The 19,317-nt window shown below is 37.1% G+C and overlaps 1 protein-coding gene across 8 annotated transcripts in view; it reads left to right on the top strand.

Moving 5' to 3' along the window:
- CTNNA3 (catenin alpha 3) overlaps positions 1 to 19,317 on the top strand; it is a 1,851,072-nt gene that overhangs the window by 973,926 nt on the left and 857,829 nt on the right. For all 8 annotated transcript variants that reach the window (XM_047425124.1, NM_013266.4, XM_017016152.2 and 5 more), the window contains one exon: positions 14,145 to 14,225. In XM_047425124.1, the coding sequence (XP_047281080.1) occupies positions 14,145 to 14,225 (81 nt within the window). The remainder of the gene's footprint in view (positions 1 to 14,144; positions 14,226 to 19,317) is intronic.

Here is a 19,317-nt window from a genome sequence, read left to right as displayed (position 1 = left end):
ACCCACAAGAATCAATATCTTCTGTTCTTCCACAAGTTATTATATATAAAAAAAGATCTTGGTCAAATGGAGTATATGTGTACATTGATTTAGCAGGAGTAACAGTAATTTCATGAATTTGGTAAATTTTCGTGAATTTAGATGTCATTAATCTATGCATCTTGGCTTTCATTTCTTTTGATAAGAACAAAGGTGGCCGCGCACAGTGGCTCACACCTGTAATCCCAGCACTTTGGGAGGCTGAGGCGGGTGGATTATCTGTGGTCAGGAGTTCAAGACCAGCCTGGCCAACATGGTGAAACCCTGTCTCTAACAAAAATACAAAAATTAGCCGGGCGTGGTGATGCATGCCTGTAATCCCAGCTACTCGGGAGGCTGTCAGGAGAAGCACTTGAACCCAGGAGGCAGAGGTTGCAGTGAGCCGAGATCGCACCACTGCACTCCAGCCTCAGCGAGAAGAGTGAGACTTAAAAAACAACAACAAAACAAACAAATAAACAAAAAAAAGGTTTAGTAAGCAGATAAATAGAGCAAAAATATGTTTTATTTATAAAATGGCAGGAGAAAAATATTTGTTCATGTACTTGTAACACTTGTAACAATGCACTTGTTATTATAACAAAAGATCTTACTAAATTAAAACTGTGCTTATTAGACACGATTCTTCCTATTTAATAAAGTGCCTTAAAAAATCCATCAAGTACCTATCTCCCAATCTGCAATTATTATGGATCCCCAAATGTCATGTCTGTGGTTGTATAATCTAGATTCTCACCAGGTTGACTGGCACCCCCTTAAACCAGATGCAAGAAAGTCAAGTTTCATTTTATAATGTATATGAGTGAGTGTGAAAGGGCCCTGAGTAAACTATTTGAGCCTGTTCCTTCAGTGCTCGCCAGTATGGTTCTTCAATGCAGTACTTGTATTTCTCTGTTCTTTTTTTTTTAACCTGTAATGTTCTTGCTGCATAATGTTAAATCTATATTTTATGTCCCATGATTTCTAGCTAGTTCATTTAGCTCTGTTTCCCTGGGGTTGATGGAAGGAGGAGTTAATATCCTCAGCTTTCTAACAACAGACATTGAAAAAGATCACGCTTGTCTCGAATGTTACTGGCTCTCTGAGCCACACTGCAAGAAATATTACAGGCAACAAATAGTTTCATTTTCAATTTAGACACCCATTATTTGATGTTTACAGGCCATTCCTAATTCTGAGTCCAGAATTTATGGTTTGTTCTGGCGATTATCATCACAGCAATCTCCTGCAACTGGGCTGTGCTTCATCGGGAGCTTTGTGCTGCTGTATCAGTCCTCCCTGGCGCCTGGAACTGATATATAGCACCCTGTCCAAATCACCCTGCTCAGAGAGGCTTAGTTTATGGCTCTCCAAATGCCCATCTTTTCTGATGGGTATGTCAGTTTGCACCCACTCAGTGAGGGGGAACGTTGACCCTTGGGAAGGAGGGTGGTGGTCATTAAAGAAATAAAAGTCTAACACTTAAGATTCTGAACCCCTCTGAATCAAACTAGATGATATCATTGATTAAGTGAAATTTACTGAGTTTTGTTCAGTGCTAATTAATAATGAAACATAGATGTTTCCTAGTTTGACTTGTAAACCTAAGATGAAGAATAGCATATATATTTATTGAAAACATGGTAAAATAGTGGTAGTAACAGCTTTGGATACATAAGTGTGTTTCAAATGGTTATTTTATAGATTCTTTTTGCATAGACAGTATTTAGTTCTGTCTCTCAGATACATGGGTGTTCTCCAGGCTCTGTTCAATAACATTAATTACAGTTTACTGAATTACTTTAGAAATCTCTGCACATTGATTGTAGAAGAATCACTCACTAAATCTGCATTTTTGCAAGGATGTGGTGAAACATGTATCTATTATAAGTCCTGTAACCAGAATGATACTTCATTTTAAATCTTGCTGGTTGAAATGAAAACAAGAATATCTTTTGCTACCAATTTCTACCGACTTCTGTGCGTTAGTTGTGGCTTGTCACTTGCCCCTCCTCCCCTTCGAACTACAGGAACTAGAACTAACAAAACTAGACAAGGGGATAGGTCTTGGTCATAAAGGGGCTTGCTACTCCTTCCTCCCTACATTAAAGACAACTTATTTAGCACTTCCCGGAGAGGAAGGAGAGACAGAGGCAGAAGGAGAAAGAGAAAAGCCCAATAGAGATAAAGCTGTGAATAAGTCGTCTCCAACTTCTGTCCAACCTCACCCCCTAAGTAAGTTGTGCTACCCAGACAGACCAGCGAACCAGGGGGTATTACTCTAATAATATTTTCTCTTATAGAGTAAAATAAAAATGCTCTTTCCTGTAGGGAAATACCACCGAGAGGCAATGAACACCACCAATAGTAACATTTAGTACATAGTGATCAGATCTGATCGAGACATCAACACATCTGTTTCTACACGCCATCTTACAGAAGAGGAAACTGAGACCCACAGAAACTGTGTGATTTGCTTAAGTTCACACATCTAGGAAGTGGAAAAGTTAGGAGTAGGAATCGCCTCTCCTCTGACTCACTAAGTAGAGGTTTTAATTTTTTCTCCACATCAGTATTTTGCAGGAAAAAAGGAACTTAGAAAGATGTACTTGGAATTAGTCTTAGGAATATCACTTTGAATAGAGAAGGATTTTCTTTGAAGTTGCATTGTGAATTTTAAATTTGCATCATCCTGTGATCAGGGCTCTGAGTAAGTCTGAGACAGCGCTGTAGAGTTGGACTTTGCCCTTAGGTTGTCCTCCTTTTCATGCCCTTCTTTCCACTTAACTGACTTGAACACCACTGTCAGGCCTGCCCTCTAAGAATGGTCAATATTCTACATATTTCTTAACAAACTCTCTTCTTTCTACTGTATTTTCCCCCAATAATGCATATTTCATATGTGGGATGTTTCCAAGGTAGCTTTTGGAATTTAAAACTAAAATAACTAAGATGTTTAAAAAACAGGTAAAATGAAGTTATTATATTTTTGTTTCTTGTCTCATTGATTTTATACAGTTGGGTAAATTATTCCCTTCACCCTGGCTGAAAAGTCAATCAATGGCCAAACTTTTCTAGTTACCTTCAGTCTTTTGTGCCAGTCCCTCTCTTCTAATCAATAACTAGAATATAACTGTCAAAACTTATACCTTGATTTCAATTGGGCTGATTTTCCACAGCTTAGACCTATTGTAGGTAGGAAACCAGCAGTTGAAAGAGAACTTAATTGCTTTTTATTATTGTTCTCCCCTTTTCTGGGGTAGAAGCAAGAGGAGGAAGGAGAGCTGAAGGGAACATAAAAGTTATTTCTAGCTCTCAGGTTTCTGAAGGCTGACTTTTCCCATAAACTTGCTGTATCAGTTAGGGTCCCAGCAAGAGAAAAAAAAACAGTGCCCCAAGCTGGTAATTTGAGGAGAGTATATTAAAGGGCCTATTTATATAGCTATGAACAAGGCTTGAGGGACTCAATAAGGGATAGAGCAAGACCCTAGGCCTGCAACTACAGGGAGCTCTGCCCACTCCCAGGCCTGTAGGATCAAGGGGAGGGAGTGGGTCATAGAACAAGACAGGGTGGCTGTAGGAAGAAGACTTCTGCCAGGAGTTGTGGTCTTCAGTAGACAGACACAACCAACTTACAGCAACTACCTGGAATGGCAACAAGAAAATAAATCTTTCAACCCTACTCTCCTCCTCCCTGCCTATCCCTTGCTTTGCACAAGCTCACCTGAAAACATGGAACAATTTTTGTGATATCTGGGGGTTGGGGGAAGAGAGTGTGGTGAAAAAAGGTGATGAGTGGATCCAAAGGGGCAAATGGAAAAAATCTGGCACAGATAAAATATTAGCCAGGATTCTACAGATAAACAGAACGAATAGGATACATATATAAGAGGAGATTTATTATGGGAATTGGCTTATGTGATTATAAAGGTGAGGAAGTATCATGATCTGCTGTGTGCAAGCTGGAGAACTTGGGAAGCCAATGGTATAATTCAGTCCCCATCTGAGGGCCAGAGAACCAGGGGAGCCAATGGTGTAACTCCCAGTCCAAGGCCAAAGGCTTAGTACAAGGTTAAGGGGTGAGGGAGGGTGCTGGCATAAGTCCTGATGTCTGAAAGCCTGCGAACCAGGAGAGCTCTGAGGGCAGGAGAAGATGCATGTCACAGCTGGAGAAGAGAGAGCAAAATTGTCCTTCCTCTGTCTTTTTGTTCTACCCAGCCCCTCAACAGATTAGATGATGCCTGTTCACCTTGGTGGAGGCATTTTGTTCTTTACTGGGTCTACTTATCCAGATGCGAATTTTATTCTGAAAACAGCTTCAGAAATACCCAGAAATAATGTTTTACCAGTTACCTAGGTATCTTTTAACCCAATCAAGTTGATGTCACAGGTGATTTTGAGGGTTCCTTGGAGGTCTGCATCTGACCTGCAGTTCACTTAATGTGAGTGATATCTTCTTCTGCAGCTGACTGCTTATTTATGAAATCCAGATGTTTCTATAACTCCTTGTAGCTTTTCTCTATTTTACTGATCTAGGCAATAGCCTTGGACAAAACAAACAAACAAAAAAACAAGGTGACCCCAGACCAGCTGTCTTTAGCATAAGGCCCATATCTGGACCATGAAAAATGCTCAAATGTTGGAATTCATTCACATCTTTTTCTGCTTATTCATCAGCAAGTAGCCGACCTCCTTTCACTAGTTAGATTTCTTGGGAGAGAGTTCACAAGTGTCCACTGAATCTCAGCTGCCAGGGACTTTGCTTTTAAATGTTCCATTGAAGTGTCTCTTTCTAGACTATGGAGTGAGAAAGTAGGGAGGAGAATGGGAATTCCAGATTCTTTATATAAATCCTCTCCAATAAACCTTCCCTAATCTCCACATGTTTTGACCTTTATACCTTTATTATGGATGTGAGGTTTTATTCAGAGCCAAGTAGTGGTTTTTGATTATTTCTTTTGAAAATCATTATCTTGGTCTGGCACAGAAATGAGGAATGCCCTATATGTATTTAGTTAAAGCTAAAGTTTTTTAATGAAATAAAGAAGAATGGAAATTTTCAAATATTAGATGGAGATTTTCAAATATTAGAATCTGGCAATGGAAGAAAAAAGGGAGAGACTATCTTTGAGTAGAAGCCACTGGTACCTCTCAAGTAATGCCATATAGATCTGTATTTCTTCTGACAGTATATAAGTTAGATCCTGTTTATGAGATTTTTAAAAATTTAAGATGTCTGCACAAATCAAGTTTCATAACAAATAATATTTTCAATAGGCTAAGAGGACTGCTATAAAAGAATATATTTATGCATCCTATTGTAAAGAAAATTATTACCTACTAATTTATCTTGAAGGAAAAATTTTTATATGCCAAGTTTCTTTAAAGTGGAGGCTTTAATTTAACTTTCTCACATGCTTTAGAATATGAAACTCTTCACGTTATGAACCTTGAAAGTGCTAATTTAGGAAAGAAATGATAGAAAATATTTATGTTAATCAGCAAAGAATACATCCATTGTATTCTTATTTTATGGTGTTAAAAATAAACATGTCTGCAAGACACAGATTACAGTTCACTGTGAAAGTGAAAACAATAACCAGAATCGTGGAAGTCTATCTGTTCTAAGTTTCATAGACTTTCCATAGCCATATGTAAAGGCTATGGAAATACTTTGACAGTCTATTATTCAAACGCCATAAAACCCACTGTTGGCTGAAGTTTGACATACTGAGTATTATTAAACTATGAAAACCTGGCTTGGGAAACAGAGTAGGAATTAGACTTAAGAAACTGGAGGAATGGCAGACAATAAAATTTTTACAAGATCAGTGGTTTTCTGATTCTCTATCTCCAAAAACATGGTGGAGACAGAAAAATTGCCAGAAAATGGTGATTCTATTTAAAAGCGGGAAAATAATTTATTTGGTCTATGTGTGTAATGCTATGTCATTGCTTATTAGACTCTGGTAGTGGTTCTGAATATTGTAGACAAAGTCGTTGCCATATGAGCTCACAGGAGCTCACAGTGTAATCGACAGCATAAAATATTGCATTTCTCCACGTTCGTACAGACGCTTTTATATTAGCATCACAGCTGCTTTCTTCAGGGGTAGGCACTTTTCTAAAGCTGGCTGCTGGGTCAGGCATCACAAAACCAAAAGGATTTCTAGAATGAGTCAGATCTTACTCCAGATCCTCTGATGGTGACTCAGTAAAAAAGTTTTGGAATTAAAATATCAGTAAAGACATAATGTGCAATTTAATCATTAATTGATATTGAAGGATTTATGAACTTTGGCCTAGATATCTATATTTCAGATATATGATTGACTCTTCATGGAAACACCTTTAAAAGACAAAGTCATAGTTTATATTGATACCTGTGAGTAACATCTTCAGAAAAATGATTTGATTTTCTTTTTGTAGTGCAAACCCATGAATGTTTATTTCATGTTTGGTGAATATCGGTTAAAATTCTGTATTCTGGCGTGAGTATCTCTGGTCTGAGAACACAGGCAACAAGCTGGAGTGTAGTGTTCTCAGTACTTAATTAGTTATTTACTAGACTAGATACCAACAGAGAACTCTAATGCCACACACTGTTAGAGTTCAGAGGAACCCTAAAGATCATTTAGTGTAATGGCCTCCTTTTATGCATGCTAAGGACATTTGAGACAGGACAAGAGAGGTGATTCATCCTAGTTAAGGTCAACCAGAGAGCTTATTTTAGAAACCCCATTTTCTGATTCACAGGTTAGATTTTTATCCTCATACCAAGTTTATATTGTACTACTTATAGGTAATAATAACAGCAGTCTTTGAATAAAAACACTGATTTAATAAAATATTTAATAACTAATAGGATAGATATTATTTTTGTTAAAAATACAAACACTCAATGTATTAATAATATAGCTTGAATATTACTTATTAGAAGTATGGTTAACAATTCTTCATTTATTCATTTTACCCACATCCATTAATTGAGTTTCAGGTGTTATAGTAGATACAAATGACAGATTTAAGAAGTGTCAGTGTAGAAGATGAGGCAGAGTATAAATAAAAGATAACAAAAGTCTCACAGATATAGTGGAAATATATGAAGAGATTAATGAAAGAACAAATGAGATGATTTGTAACTTTAAATTTTTATAGCAAAATTGAGGAGGGTCAGAAAAGGTGATACAGAGAATGAGACAATTGAGCTGAGTCTCAGATTATGAATTAAGAATTTTCCTGTTGAACAAGAAGAGATGGGGGCATTCCAGGACAAGGCTGGTGTTTGAAAAAGCACAGGGAAATCAGCCAGTTGGTTTAGTTCAAGAAACCCAAGTGTGACATTGGTAACACCAATGATATGTCTAATAATAACTGCTAACATTTCTTGAACCCTTCCTATTTGCCAGCTTTGTATACCCTTTATCCTTTTATTCCTTATAACAACTTTGTAATATAGATTTTATATTATCTCCACTTTATGGGCAAAGAAACTAAGACTTTGAGGATTAAGTCACTTGTTCAAAGACATAAAGCTGTCAGGTGATGGAGCTGATTAGAATACAATTTCAACTGGCTCCACAAACTTATATTCTGCTCATTATATTTTATAAATACTTTTATAAAGCTTACATAACAGATATATTGAGTTTAAGTTACAGTGGCTTCAAGTTGTCATGGTATGGTGGCTTAAGTCTGAGATGGGACACAGTTCTACCTGACACACAATTTACTGTGTGTCCTCCAGAGGCAGGACATTTAAATTTACTGAACCTCAGTGTCTTCACATACAAATGTGTGTAGAGTTATTGTGAACAGCAGTTGAGACAGTACGTGTAAAGTACTTATTATATGTGGTAGACATTTGACACAATGTTGTTTCCCTCTCACTGACTTCCAGACATACCCCAGCAGGCATCTACATGGGGATGGCATCTTACTTTCCCAAACAATACAAAAGTTCAAGACATTTGTAGTCTTCATCCTACTTCCTCTGTTAGCTAAATCATTCTATTCTTATATGGTTAATTTTTAAAAACCTCATTTCAAAACTCAGAGTTAATTTTTGGCTTGTTTTAGTTGTATTTTCACATTATAGACCTTATTTCTGACAGATCATTTAGCATGCCCCATCAGGTGTCTTCCTGATACGCCATTCAGTACAGTGGTATTCTAGAAGGAGAGATTTCATTTTTCTTTCTTATACTTGTCTGTTTGTGTGTCTTTCATGCCTGAAAAATGTAGACTAGAATCTGTGCCTGTGCTATGTGCTAAGCATAAACTATTTTTCAAGCAATTTCTTTAGAGAAGAACTAAGTTTAAGGGTATCATATTTCATCTTTTACCATTAAAAGGAAAATGCATCATTTTAAAAGGTTGAATAAAATGGCACACACTTACAAAACAAAAATAAAACATAACAATAACAACAACAAAAACAACAACAAAAAACATTTTCCTGCTGTTTGAATTCCACACAGGGCTCCTCTGCACTGATTTTCATTTGACTATGAATTAGATAAATTTTTATTTGCTTTAAACCTCATCTCTTAGTGTTTGAGGCTTCATAATTTATAGGGTGAGCATCATGGCCTTCCTATTTCAAACGTCTCCTTTTATTTTCAGCTTCGTATTACACACACATGTTTTGACATATTTTCAATGGCTGTTTATGCAAGAAATTGTGCAATAAAAGTAACATATTATTCTACAATTCTTCCTTTTAGAGAACATGGCCCTTTCATAGAATTTTAAAGTTAGAAAGGAATATAGAAACAATTTAGGACAAATATTCATTTTATGGGTTTGGAAATTAAGGCCCAGAAACGTAATGGGATCTGCCAAAACCTTATCCAGTCTTCTATTTCTCTATTTATTTAACAAATAACTGTTGAGCCCCTACTATGTGCAAAGCACTGTGCTAGATCCTTTGAGGGACAAAATATATGTAAGATATTTTTATATTTCAAGGATCATACCATCTAGTGAGAAAGACACATTCAGGTAAGTAATTAAGCATAGGACAAATACTAATGAAATGAGCTCTTTATGAGCCCTTCAGCAGTTCCCAGGCTGAAATCATCATCCTTGTGTTGACCTGGCTTTCTCCTTGAAATGACAATTTCAGTTCACAACTCCATCATCTAGCCAGCTGTCACTGCTGGAAACCAGGACATCAGCCTAGATTGTTCTCTTTCCTTCACCTGCCAGCATCTGCCAGTCATCCTCCTACCCAGGTTACTCTATTATAGAGTCCTTAAGTCTGTGGTTTTTCTTTATCCTGACTGCCATTGCATTAGTTTCAACACTGTTCATCTCTCTGTGGACTATTACTGTGACCATTTAATGCTTCTATTTCTGCTTGTCATCTCCTCAAATCCATTGTGCAGACTCCACAGCCGGTTTGATATAATGGACTGATTGTATCATTCATTTTCTTAACTTCTATGACTCCCAGTTGTCTATAGGGTTAAGCTCATTTCTTGGCATAGCAAAGACCTCCAGGATCAGGCCTCTCCTAACACTTTTACTAATAACCAAATAATCTTTAAGGACCTTTACCTTTGCTCAGGCTATACCTGTCCCTGATAAGCTTTTTCTCTTCTCTTCACCTGGCTGACTTTTATATATCCTGTAATACTCAATTGTTACCTACTCAAGAATGCTTCCTTCATCATTATTGAGAGTGCTGCTCTCATCAATCCATGTGTTATCCTAGGTACCTCTATAAACTACTGTGTTTATGTCTATCACTAGATTTGTGCACCTGAAAGGCAGCGACTAGTTCTTAGCATGGTGTCCCGCATATAGTAGATGATAAAGATTTGTTGACTATGTTGACCTATTTATTAAACCAAGTGTTATAAAAGAAGTATAAGAACTATAAGAAAGTATCATGGAAGAGAGTAATTAATTGCAAATGAGAAGATCAACAAAGGCTCTATGTAAAATTTAGTAACTGAGTTATACCTTGAAAGAGGTCCATAACCAGGCCAGGTGCAGTGGCTTATGCCTGTAATCCCAGCACTGGGAGGCCAAGGCAGGAGGATCACCTGAGGTCAGGAGTTCAAGACCAGCCTGGCTGACATGGTGAAAACCCACCTCTACTAAAAGTACAAAAAAAAAAATAAGCCAGGCATGGTGGTAGGCACCTGTAATCCCAGCTACTCAGGAGGCTAAGGCAGGAGAATCACTTGAACCCAGGAGGCATAGGTTGCAGTGAGCCGAGATGGCACTACTGCACTCTAGCCTGGGCAACAGAACAAAACATTTGGAAAGAAAGAAAGAGAAAGAAAAGAAAGAAAAGAAAGAAGGAAGGAAGGAAGGAGTCCATAACAAGAAAAGTAAGAGACAAGAAATGAAAAGAGAGGTATTTATACTAGCAGAGTTCTTGAGTTGTAATCATATTGCAGAGAATAGAAAAGACCCATTAAGGTGTCTTATTAGTGGTTTAGTAAATACAGAAGTAGATTATATGAGGCTTTGAACACAATGATCAAGACTTTGTTCTTAATTTCATCAGTAGGGATACAGTGAAGGGTTTTAGAGCAAAGGAGGGACATAATTAGACCTTATGTTTCTCCACTAGGGAGTAAGCACTTTGAGGGTTGGGATTTTTTGGTTGTCTATTTCTTATTTACTATTTTATTTTATTTATTTTTATTTAAATGTTTTTTGATATGGAGTCTTGCTCTGTTGCCAGGCTGGAGTGCAGTGGCGCGATCTCGGCTCACTGCAACTTCCGCCTCCTGGGTTCAAGCAATTCTCCTGCCTTAGCCTCGCAAGTAGTTGGGATTACAGATATGCGCCACCATGCCCAGCTAATTCTTGTATGTTTAGTAAAGATGGTGTTTCACCATGTTGGCCAGGCTGGTCTTGAACTCCTGACCTCAGGTGATCCACCTGCCTTGGCCTCACAAAATGCTGGGATTACAGGCTGAGCCACCGCACTCGGCCCAGAATTTTTTTTTTTAATAAAGTCTTTCTTGGCAGTTTGTTTACAGATGAAGAATGTGACTGCTTTCCCTATACAGTGCTGACCTGTGCCATGTGAGTGTCTATCTGCCTGACACTCCACTGTAAGTGGTCCCTTTTCCATTAGCAGGGATTTGCTGACTTAATAATGGCTTCTGTCAAGGATTTCTTTAAGGAGCAGTCTCTTTTCTGAGCACTCGGGATATAGGCAGGTTCTGACTGTTATCTGCAGTTGTGTTTTAATATCCTGCCATTTCCATCTCTTGTCTCAGAACACAGAATTCACCTTTAGTCCGAGCTCATTGATGATTTGTTAAGGCTTTGAAAAAAGAAGGAATGAGGGCCTTTAAGCAGGACGGGGCTATTTCTCCTTGCCTTATTTATTTTTATGCTATGCAAAAGGAATAAAGAGGCATAAAATGGCTTGACTGAAGCCAAATAAATCTAGATAAATAGAGCAAGGATCCAATAAAAAGCCGGAGGTGAAAAAGTAGAAAGGTGATTGTGGTTGGGGATAGGGGATCAAGGGAGAAAAAAGCAAGAAGGGAGACCTTTAAACTTCCTGTCATGATAGGGACTGTTTATTATTGCCTAGACAATGAAATGTCTTTGACCCAGTGAAACATTTTAAACTAGGGTTAAGCTCTGGGTAGAAATTAGGGAATAATTTTTATAGTTCCTATTGAATCTCTTTGTGCTGTCACCTCCTGTCATCCTTTATTTAAAGTTTGGTATGCTTCTGCTGCTAGCTCTGAGAAAGCTGACATTTTTTAGTTGTTCTGATGAATCACACCACAGAAGCTAGCGGGTTTTTACAGCCAACACAACAGGAGTCTCCCATATTATTCCTGATACTGTGTGTGTGTGTGTGTGTGTGCATGTGTGTGTGTGTGTGTGTGTGTGTGTGTGTGTGTAGGAGGTCTCTTTGTCTGTCCCACTTCTGCCTCTTTTTTATTATCTCTGCTTTCATGAAGTGGAAAGCGATACAACCAAGAGCAAACACTGCATGAAGCTAGAGAATAAGGGCTGGGTTCTTTAGGTAAAATTATAAACTGTCTGAGAGCTCATTGTGTATCTGTTTATGCCATTGTCCTGTATAGTCATGAGTTAGCTCTTCATAATTCCCCACTGCTAGCATAGAGAATGCTGAGTAGGAGCTGTGAAGGTAGCCACAACTTTCATCTGTGTAATTGCTGCCATTGCTCTGATATCCAGAATGTTATTAGTGCTCATAGAAATAACCTAACCAAATCTCTCCTATTTCCCTTTTCTTACTTCTCTCTTCCCTAGACACAGTTTCCATGGTGTACACATTCCACAATCTCTTTATAAGAAACTAAAACATGGTAAAGACTTACTGGCCTTCTACTGTGTCTTCCTATAGGAGGCAGCTGAACATATGTGGTGCCAATTTTTGGCTGTCACAGTGCGCCAGATTTGGTATTGAATTTAGCAGACCTGGGTCCACGAATGCCAGATATCTTGCAGTGTATCGAATGATCTCCAATGATGGCCATTTTTCACACTTTAAATATCAGTAACACTGCTGTTGGGAAAATATAGGTTGACCTGAGTTTGAGGTAGATACCAGCAACCTCAGCTCATAGAGAACTTTAGCTGTGCCTTGAGAGCTAAATGCTAAAATCTCCTCCAGAGTCTCTAGAATGACACCTTCCTGGAAAACAGTAGGCCTCTAATCAAACTATGTTGTGTTTTGAATTAAATTGCTCATTTATAGTCTAGTCAACTCTATTTGATAAGTCCTATGTAAGTTACTATCAGGAATAGAAAAAAAATTGAGATATATTTGCCAATATCAGGATTCTAACAGTATCATAAGGGGGATGCACATAAATAAAATGATTATATTGAAAAACACTCAAAATGCTGTTGGAAAAAGGAAAAGTGAGACTTTACTTTTGAGCAGGGTTGTTGGAAGAACTCCCTGTAGAAACCAGTGAGGAGTAGATAGGACTTCAGTAGGTGTTTTAGAAGATGATCTCTGAAATCAAAGGTACATTACATGTAAGAACTGGGGAGAAGAGACAGAAAATTATAGGAATATTGCTACTGTAAAGGAGAGTATATAGCAGTACATAAGAGTAAAAAAGTAGGTTAGGACAGAGTATAGAGAGTTTTTAAATTTCTTGTTAGGGAGTCCACTGCAGGGTATGGGTTTATGCATGAGTTTAGTCATTGGGGAAAGTGTCAGACATGCTTCCTCGTGGTTTATACTTGGCCTCAGTGTCCTTTTTCATTGAGTTCGTGCTGTAACCCCCTTCAGTTATCAGCTGCTTAAACTTGCCTTCCTGATTTTCAAGGTCTTCTCTCAAGATCCCTTTTCAGTTTATTAATTTAAACAGCAGCAATTTTCCTAGAGGTGAATCACATAATGATTTTTCCAATCTCTTTTATGTGAGATATCACTGCAAAAAGTATGATTAGATTTAATCCAGTTGTCTTGCACAAAAATAATATGTAGAAAATACCAACCAAGGTGACTCTCTATGTGCTTAATAGCCTAAAGATTTAGGTTAAGGATATAACAGAGAGCTGTTCTGCTCAAAGAATAAAAAGGTGTTGCACAAATTATCTTAAAGAGCCAAAAACAGCGTCCAGTTCTTACTTAAAACAATTTGTTCTTGGAATATTGTCAGCTAAAATTGTGGTCAACTTTTGCAAATTGTATGAATTTGCACTGCATACTTTATTTAGTGTTTAGCAAAATTCCAATATGGCTCTGCATAACTTACACAATACACCATGGAAATGACTTTAGAAACTCCCACAGAAGTTGACAAATTGGGCATCTAATGCTTTTAAGCTAATTGCCTGCTTAGTGATTTAAGATTTGACTTGTTAAAAATGAAGATCAGAGTTTCATGAAGATAATGCTCTGCCTATTGTCACACTGAATACAACCTAACTCCGTATCGGAAATATTACAGAAGCATAAAGATGAAAATAATGTGAGCTTTAATCACCATTCTACTTAGTCTTAAGTGAAATGCTCATGAATCATATATAATATAGCAGTTTTGAAACCTATTCTTGAATTTCAAGCTGTTATTTTCAGGAAATTTAGAAAGCAAATTGCTAAGTGATAAAGATTAATTGATACCATTGCTTATGTCGTTTTTTCTTCTTTGCAGGCTGGAAAAAAAGAAAGGAGTAATACCCTGAATATTGCTTTAGACAACATGTGTAAGAAGACAAGAGACCTTCGCAGACAGGTGAGGGAAGAGAGAGATATGGAGTCAGAAACATAGGGGCTAAATGAAACTGTTATTCATTGCAGGCATATTTGTTTCTTGTTTTGTTCCTTTCAAATTAATTTAGAACAGGAAAAAAAGAGTAAATATATACTTTCCACATTTATATATTCATACCTCAAATGTTTTTTGTGGCAAATACAAAGCAGAGAAAGAATGTGTGCCTTATCAGACAGAATTACATTCAAATTCTGGTTCTGTTCTCATCAGTTGTGAGATCTTCGGCACATATTTCAGCTCTCTGAGCTGCTTTGAACCTATACAATGAAATTAATAATATGCAATAGGGCTGTGAGGAATCAATAAAATGCATGTAAGTGCCTGACCCATAGCAAGTTTTTAGGGAATGTTGATCAATTGATTGTATTACATCAGAGTTCATCATCCAAATGCTTAAATCCAAATGATTAACTAGTAAGTAATTCAGAGACCCTACCCATTCCTCCTTCCATTTTTTTTCATGATACTTCAAAAATTAGTTTTTGTAAAAGTTAAGCCTTCTTTTTAACCTTAAGTCATCAGGAACATGGGATTAGAAAGAATTTCATTAAACAATTTATAAGTCTAGTATGATGCCACAAGTTAAACATTTTTCCAGAAATAGGAAGACTTAGCTATTTTCAAAGACATTTGCTCTTCATTCCTTTCCTCTGTTCAATAACCAGAGTTCTTTCTCATGCAGAACTTTCACTTGGTCATCATTAACTCATCAAAAGGGAGAAAAAGCTTTTCAACTATGAACTTTTAATGCAATGTATTATCGTAGTTTAATGGCAAGATTTAGTAAAATGGCTAAGCAATCTTTTAATTTGGACGTAGATTTGGAAATGGAATAGAGATCTCCAGCCAGTTAATAATAGCTGCATAAAAACATAATGTTGAAGTCTGTGAAAATCTCAGTTTCTCAACTTTATGCCCTTAATGTGAATTCTGTTTCTACCATTTACACTTGTAATCATGGAATGTAAGAGTCAGAAGGAACTTAGCACAACCTGTCTTACGATGCAAATGAGAAAGCAGGTCAGTGTGGTGAGGTGACCTGCCTAAGAGGATGGGGCACCGAGTCAGAACCTGTACCAGGACTCAGAAATTTATATCCTCAGAGCGATCCTCCCCTTTCGTGGAATGATCCCTATTCTCCATCGTCTTCAGGATTTCTACCCCATCTGCTTCACCTAGGACTCAGAAAAGTTGTCTCTATGAGCTCTCAATGATTGTGTCTCTCGTTCGTGTCTTTTCCCTCTATATTGCCTTCAACAACATTATGCATAAAGAGCTAATCTACATTTATACTTCTAAAGGTTTTAGAATTATTATTTTTCTAAATAAAGTCAAGAAAATGCAATTACTTGTGTGTGGAATTACCAGATTTAGCAAATAAAAGCACAAGGCACCCAGTTAAATTTGAATTTCAGATTAACAACAAACATGGTTTAGTATAATTATGTCCCAAATATTGTATGGTACATACTTATATTTAAAAAGTTGTTCATCTGAAATTCAAATGTAACCGAGCATCTTGTATTTTATATTGCAATCCTACTTGTATTTCCACCTCACTACCATCAGTGAGATATAGAAATAGCATTGGGGATTACTAATACTATTCTTCATAGTAAGAAGATACTCCCATCTTGTAGAAAACTGCTGTGCTCTGAAGGTATTAACATTCTGTATGGTTTCACAGGTTAACATCTCCATTGTTTCAATTTTCTATCAGTGTTTAACAAACCACCACAAACAGTAGCAACGATATTTGCATCTCACGATGTCTTGGGTTGGCTGGGCGTCAGCGGGGCCATTTTCTGTACCGTTTTCACTTGTGGTTTTCCACATAGTGGCAGTCAAATGGCATCTGTGGCTAGATTTGGGACTTGATGTTTGGAACCTCAGTGCTTCTTCCTGTTCCCTCTCTCGATACGGTGCCTAATGTTTTAGGGCCTCTCCATGTGGCTTCAATCTCTAGCAGGGTAGCCTAGATCTCTTTCATGCTGTTTCAAGTTGCCAAGAAAAGGGAGACGGAAGCTGACAAGCATTCTTAGTGCCTTAGCTCCAAAGTCAGAGAATGCTATTTCCTCTATAATCTGTAAGTAAAAAACAGTCAAAAACCCTGTCCCAGTTCAATAGGAGTAGGCAGAAGTTCTGTCTGTTGTAGGAGAAGTGGTATGTGTGTACAGGAATGGATGGAATTGTTAGAAGCTGTCTTTGAACACCTCCATGATCTTCCGTTTTGATGAAGTTAGTTGCTATGATTCTTTCTCATTATCCTCACTTACCCTCCCCCTAGTACTTTATTTTTCATCCTGATGTTTACATTTTTGGTAGAAGTCACAGTTAATTAAAACAGCAATATAAGTTATCTCTACTTCTTGTTCTTAAGAAGTTTATCCAACAGTTGTTGTAAGCATCTCACATATAGTTCTTCTCACAGGAAAGAGAAAGCACTGCCCTTAAAATGTTTTTCTTTGGAGTATTTAATGTTCATCGTTTGCTTTAGAACTGGTTTTATCTTTTAAAACTTTTTTTAGTAAAAAATAAGCAGAGCCCATCTTCCTGCCCATTCATCCTTATCCCCTTTCTTAACCATGGCCTTTCTATCAGTAATGCAGAAACATTTCAGCTTCAGTTCAGAGGGTGATTGGATTTCTTCCAAGAGGAATGACAGAGATTGCTTAGAAATATCTAAGGAGAAGCAAATTATAGATTTGAGGACATCAAGATGGAATGTTCTAGGAGGCGAGAGTATTTATTTGTTTCAATCTTCTTCCTCTGTGACTTTCTTGCCTGTTTTACTAGAGAACAAAGACAAATGTTCTTGGCATGGTGTTCTAGGTTCTCTGTGATTTGGCCCTGACTTAATCCCCATTATTCTTAATGTTCCTTTTCCTTCAGCTCTCCTTCGCAGTGTTGTGTCCTCCTCATCACACCAACACATTAACCTGTTTTCTTTTCTCTCTCTCTCTTTTTTTTTTTTTTGTTTGAGACAGAGTCTCACTGTACCGCCCAGGCTGGAGTGCAGTGGTGTGATCTCGGCTCGTTGCAACCTCCGCCTCCCAGGTTCAGGCAATTCTCCTGCCTCAGCCTCCTAAGTAGCTGGGATTACAGATGCATGCCACCACACCCTGCTACTTTTTTGTATTTTTAGTAGAGACAGGGTTTCACCATGTTGGCCAGGCTGGTCTCGAACTCCTGACCTTGTGATCTGCCCACCTCGGCCTCCCAAAGTGCTGGGATTACAGGTGTGAGCCACCAGGCCTGGCCCACATTAACCTGTTTTCTGATGAAAGAATCTACTTGTTATTTACCAGAATTTGCATCACCTCCCGCTCAAATACACTTGCATCTTTGTACATATGACTTGTACAGCTTGATGCCTTCCCCACTCACTCTCCTTACACACAACCCCAACTCATAAGCAACTAAATTCCAGAGTAGTGTAAATGCTATTGCTTCCATGAAACCTTTGCTGTTTTCACCAGCTGGAATGGACCTTTTTCTTCCTGGAACACTTACAGCATGTGCATATTACAGCAATGATTATATTCTTCTATTTTTTTCTTTTGTAATGAGTTTTCTTCCCACTGCATTTTAAGTCCTTATAATGATAGCTATGACAACATCTCTCATTTACTAAATGCTTTGCAAAGCTCTCTACCAAGCATATTCATTACATTATTAATTTTTATTCCTAAAACAATAAATAATGCCATGGTATTGTTATCTTTGTCCCCCAAAATGAGTTAACATAGCAAACATCACCCAGCTACGTGATAGAGACACAGTTCTAGCCCAGGTCCATCCAACCCCAGCCCATATGTGTAATCACCACACCAGGGGCTAGGGATTATGGCCTATTCACTTTCAGAACCTCCCAGTGCCTAATACACTGATTTTACCATCATGTATTATTTTCTTTATTATTTGTTTTAAATGCCTTTTTAAAGTTAAATTTTCTTCTTTCTTTAGCCTCTTTTTCCATCATTCATTTGAAAACTGTATACCTATTGCAACTCTCTCAGTAAAAGGAGGAAGACTTTTTAAACATTCTTTACTTTATAAAAAAATTTAAGCAACAAATATATCTTATTTCTATTTTACTATACATACTAAAATATATTTGATTTCACTAAAGGCAGGCTAAAATTTGTATTTGTGTATATTAAGAAAAATGTCTTTTATTTCATAAATATCAAAGTAAAGATGAAGTATGTCAAATGGGATTTTGGTAAAAACAGACAAAACAAAAACTTGATTAATTCTTTAGTTGCTGAGTTTCTGAATTGTTAGGTCCATCTCTCTTCCATGTTGCATAGTACCAGTTCACCACTCAGAAAAAAATATGTAGGCTTTTATACCTCCTGGTCATCATCCTCATCATCAAATAACATTATGTATCCACAAGAGACAAGTTTCACTAAACTTACATAGTACATACACAGTGAAATAATTATTAGTACATTTAATTCCAAGCTTTAAAAATCACATTTTGCTATTTGATTTAAATTAAAATGGCTTTTAATTTAAAATATTTATTAAAATTTAAATACTGTTAATTTATTAAAATTTAATACAATATTTTAACATAAAATATTTTAGTCTAAATGTATTTTTCTGTTTCCCTGAAGATGATTCCTTTCTGAAACACTTTCTCCCCTTTCCATTCCCCTTCCCATCACAATTTCATTCTTTCTGTTCCTTTATTTGGTGGGAATGGTGGGGCTTTTTTAGACTTTTCACATAGGGCTTTCACTTTGGGCTTCAATTGTAGTGATATATATTATTTTGAGATCCCAAACCACTTACATCAGTAGGAAATAGAAAAATTGATGTCTCAAAGCCTTTTATTAAACTGTAGTGAGAAAAGATGAAAAGCACCTCAGTTTGGTTTTGTTCTAACATCTTTCATGCCTGGCCACAAACAGGTATTTATTGAAAGTATGTATCTGTAATTCCTATTGGCCTCCCACTAACTTCAGATTTTAGTGCTTTGGCTTCCATTTCTATATTGGCATATTGCATTCTTCTTTAAACTTTTTGTATATCACCCAACTGA

The sequence above is a fragment of the Homo sapiens genome, chromosome 10 (genome assembly GCF_000001405.40).
Source record: "Homo sapiens chromosome 10, GRCh38.p14 Primary Assembly".
NCBI lineage: Eukaryota > Metazoa > Chordata > Mammalia > Primates > Hominidae > Homo > Homo sapiens.
This window is presented reverse-complemented; position numbering and strand designations above follow the sequence as displayed.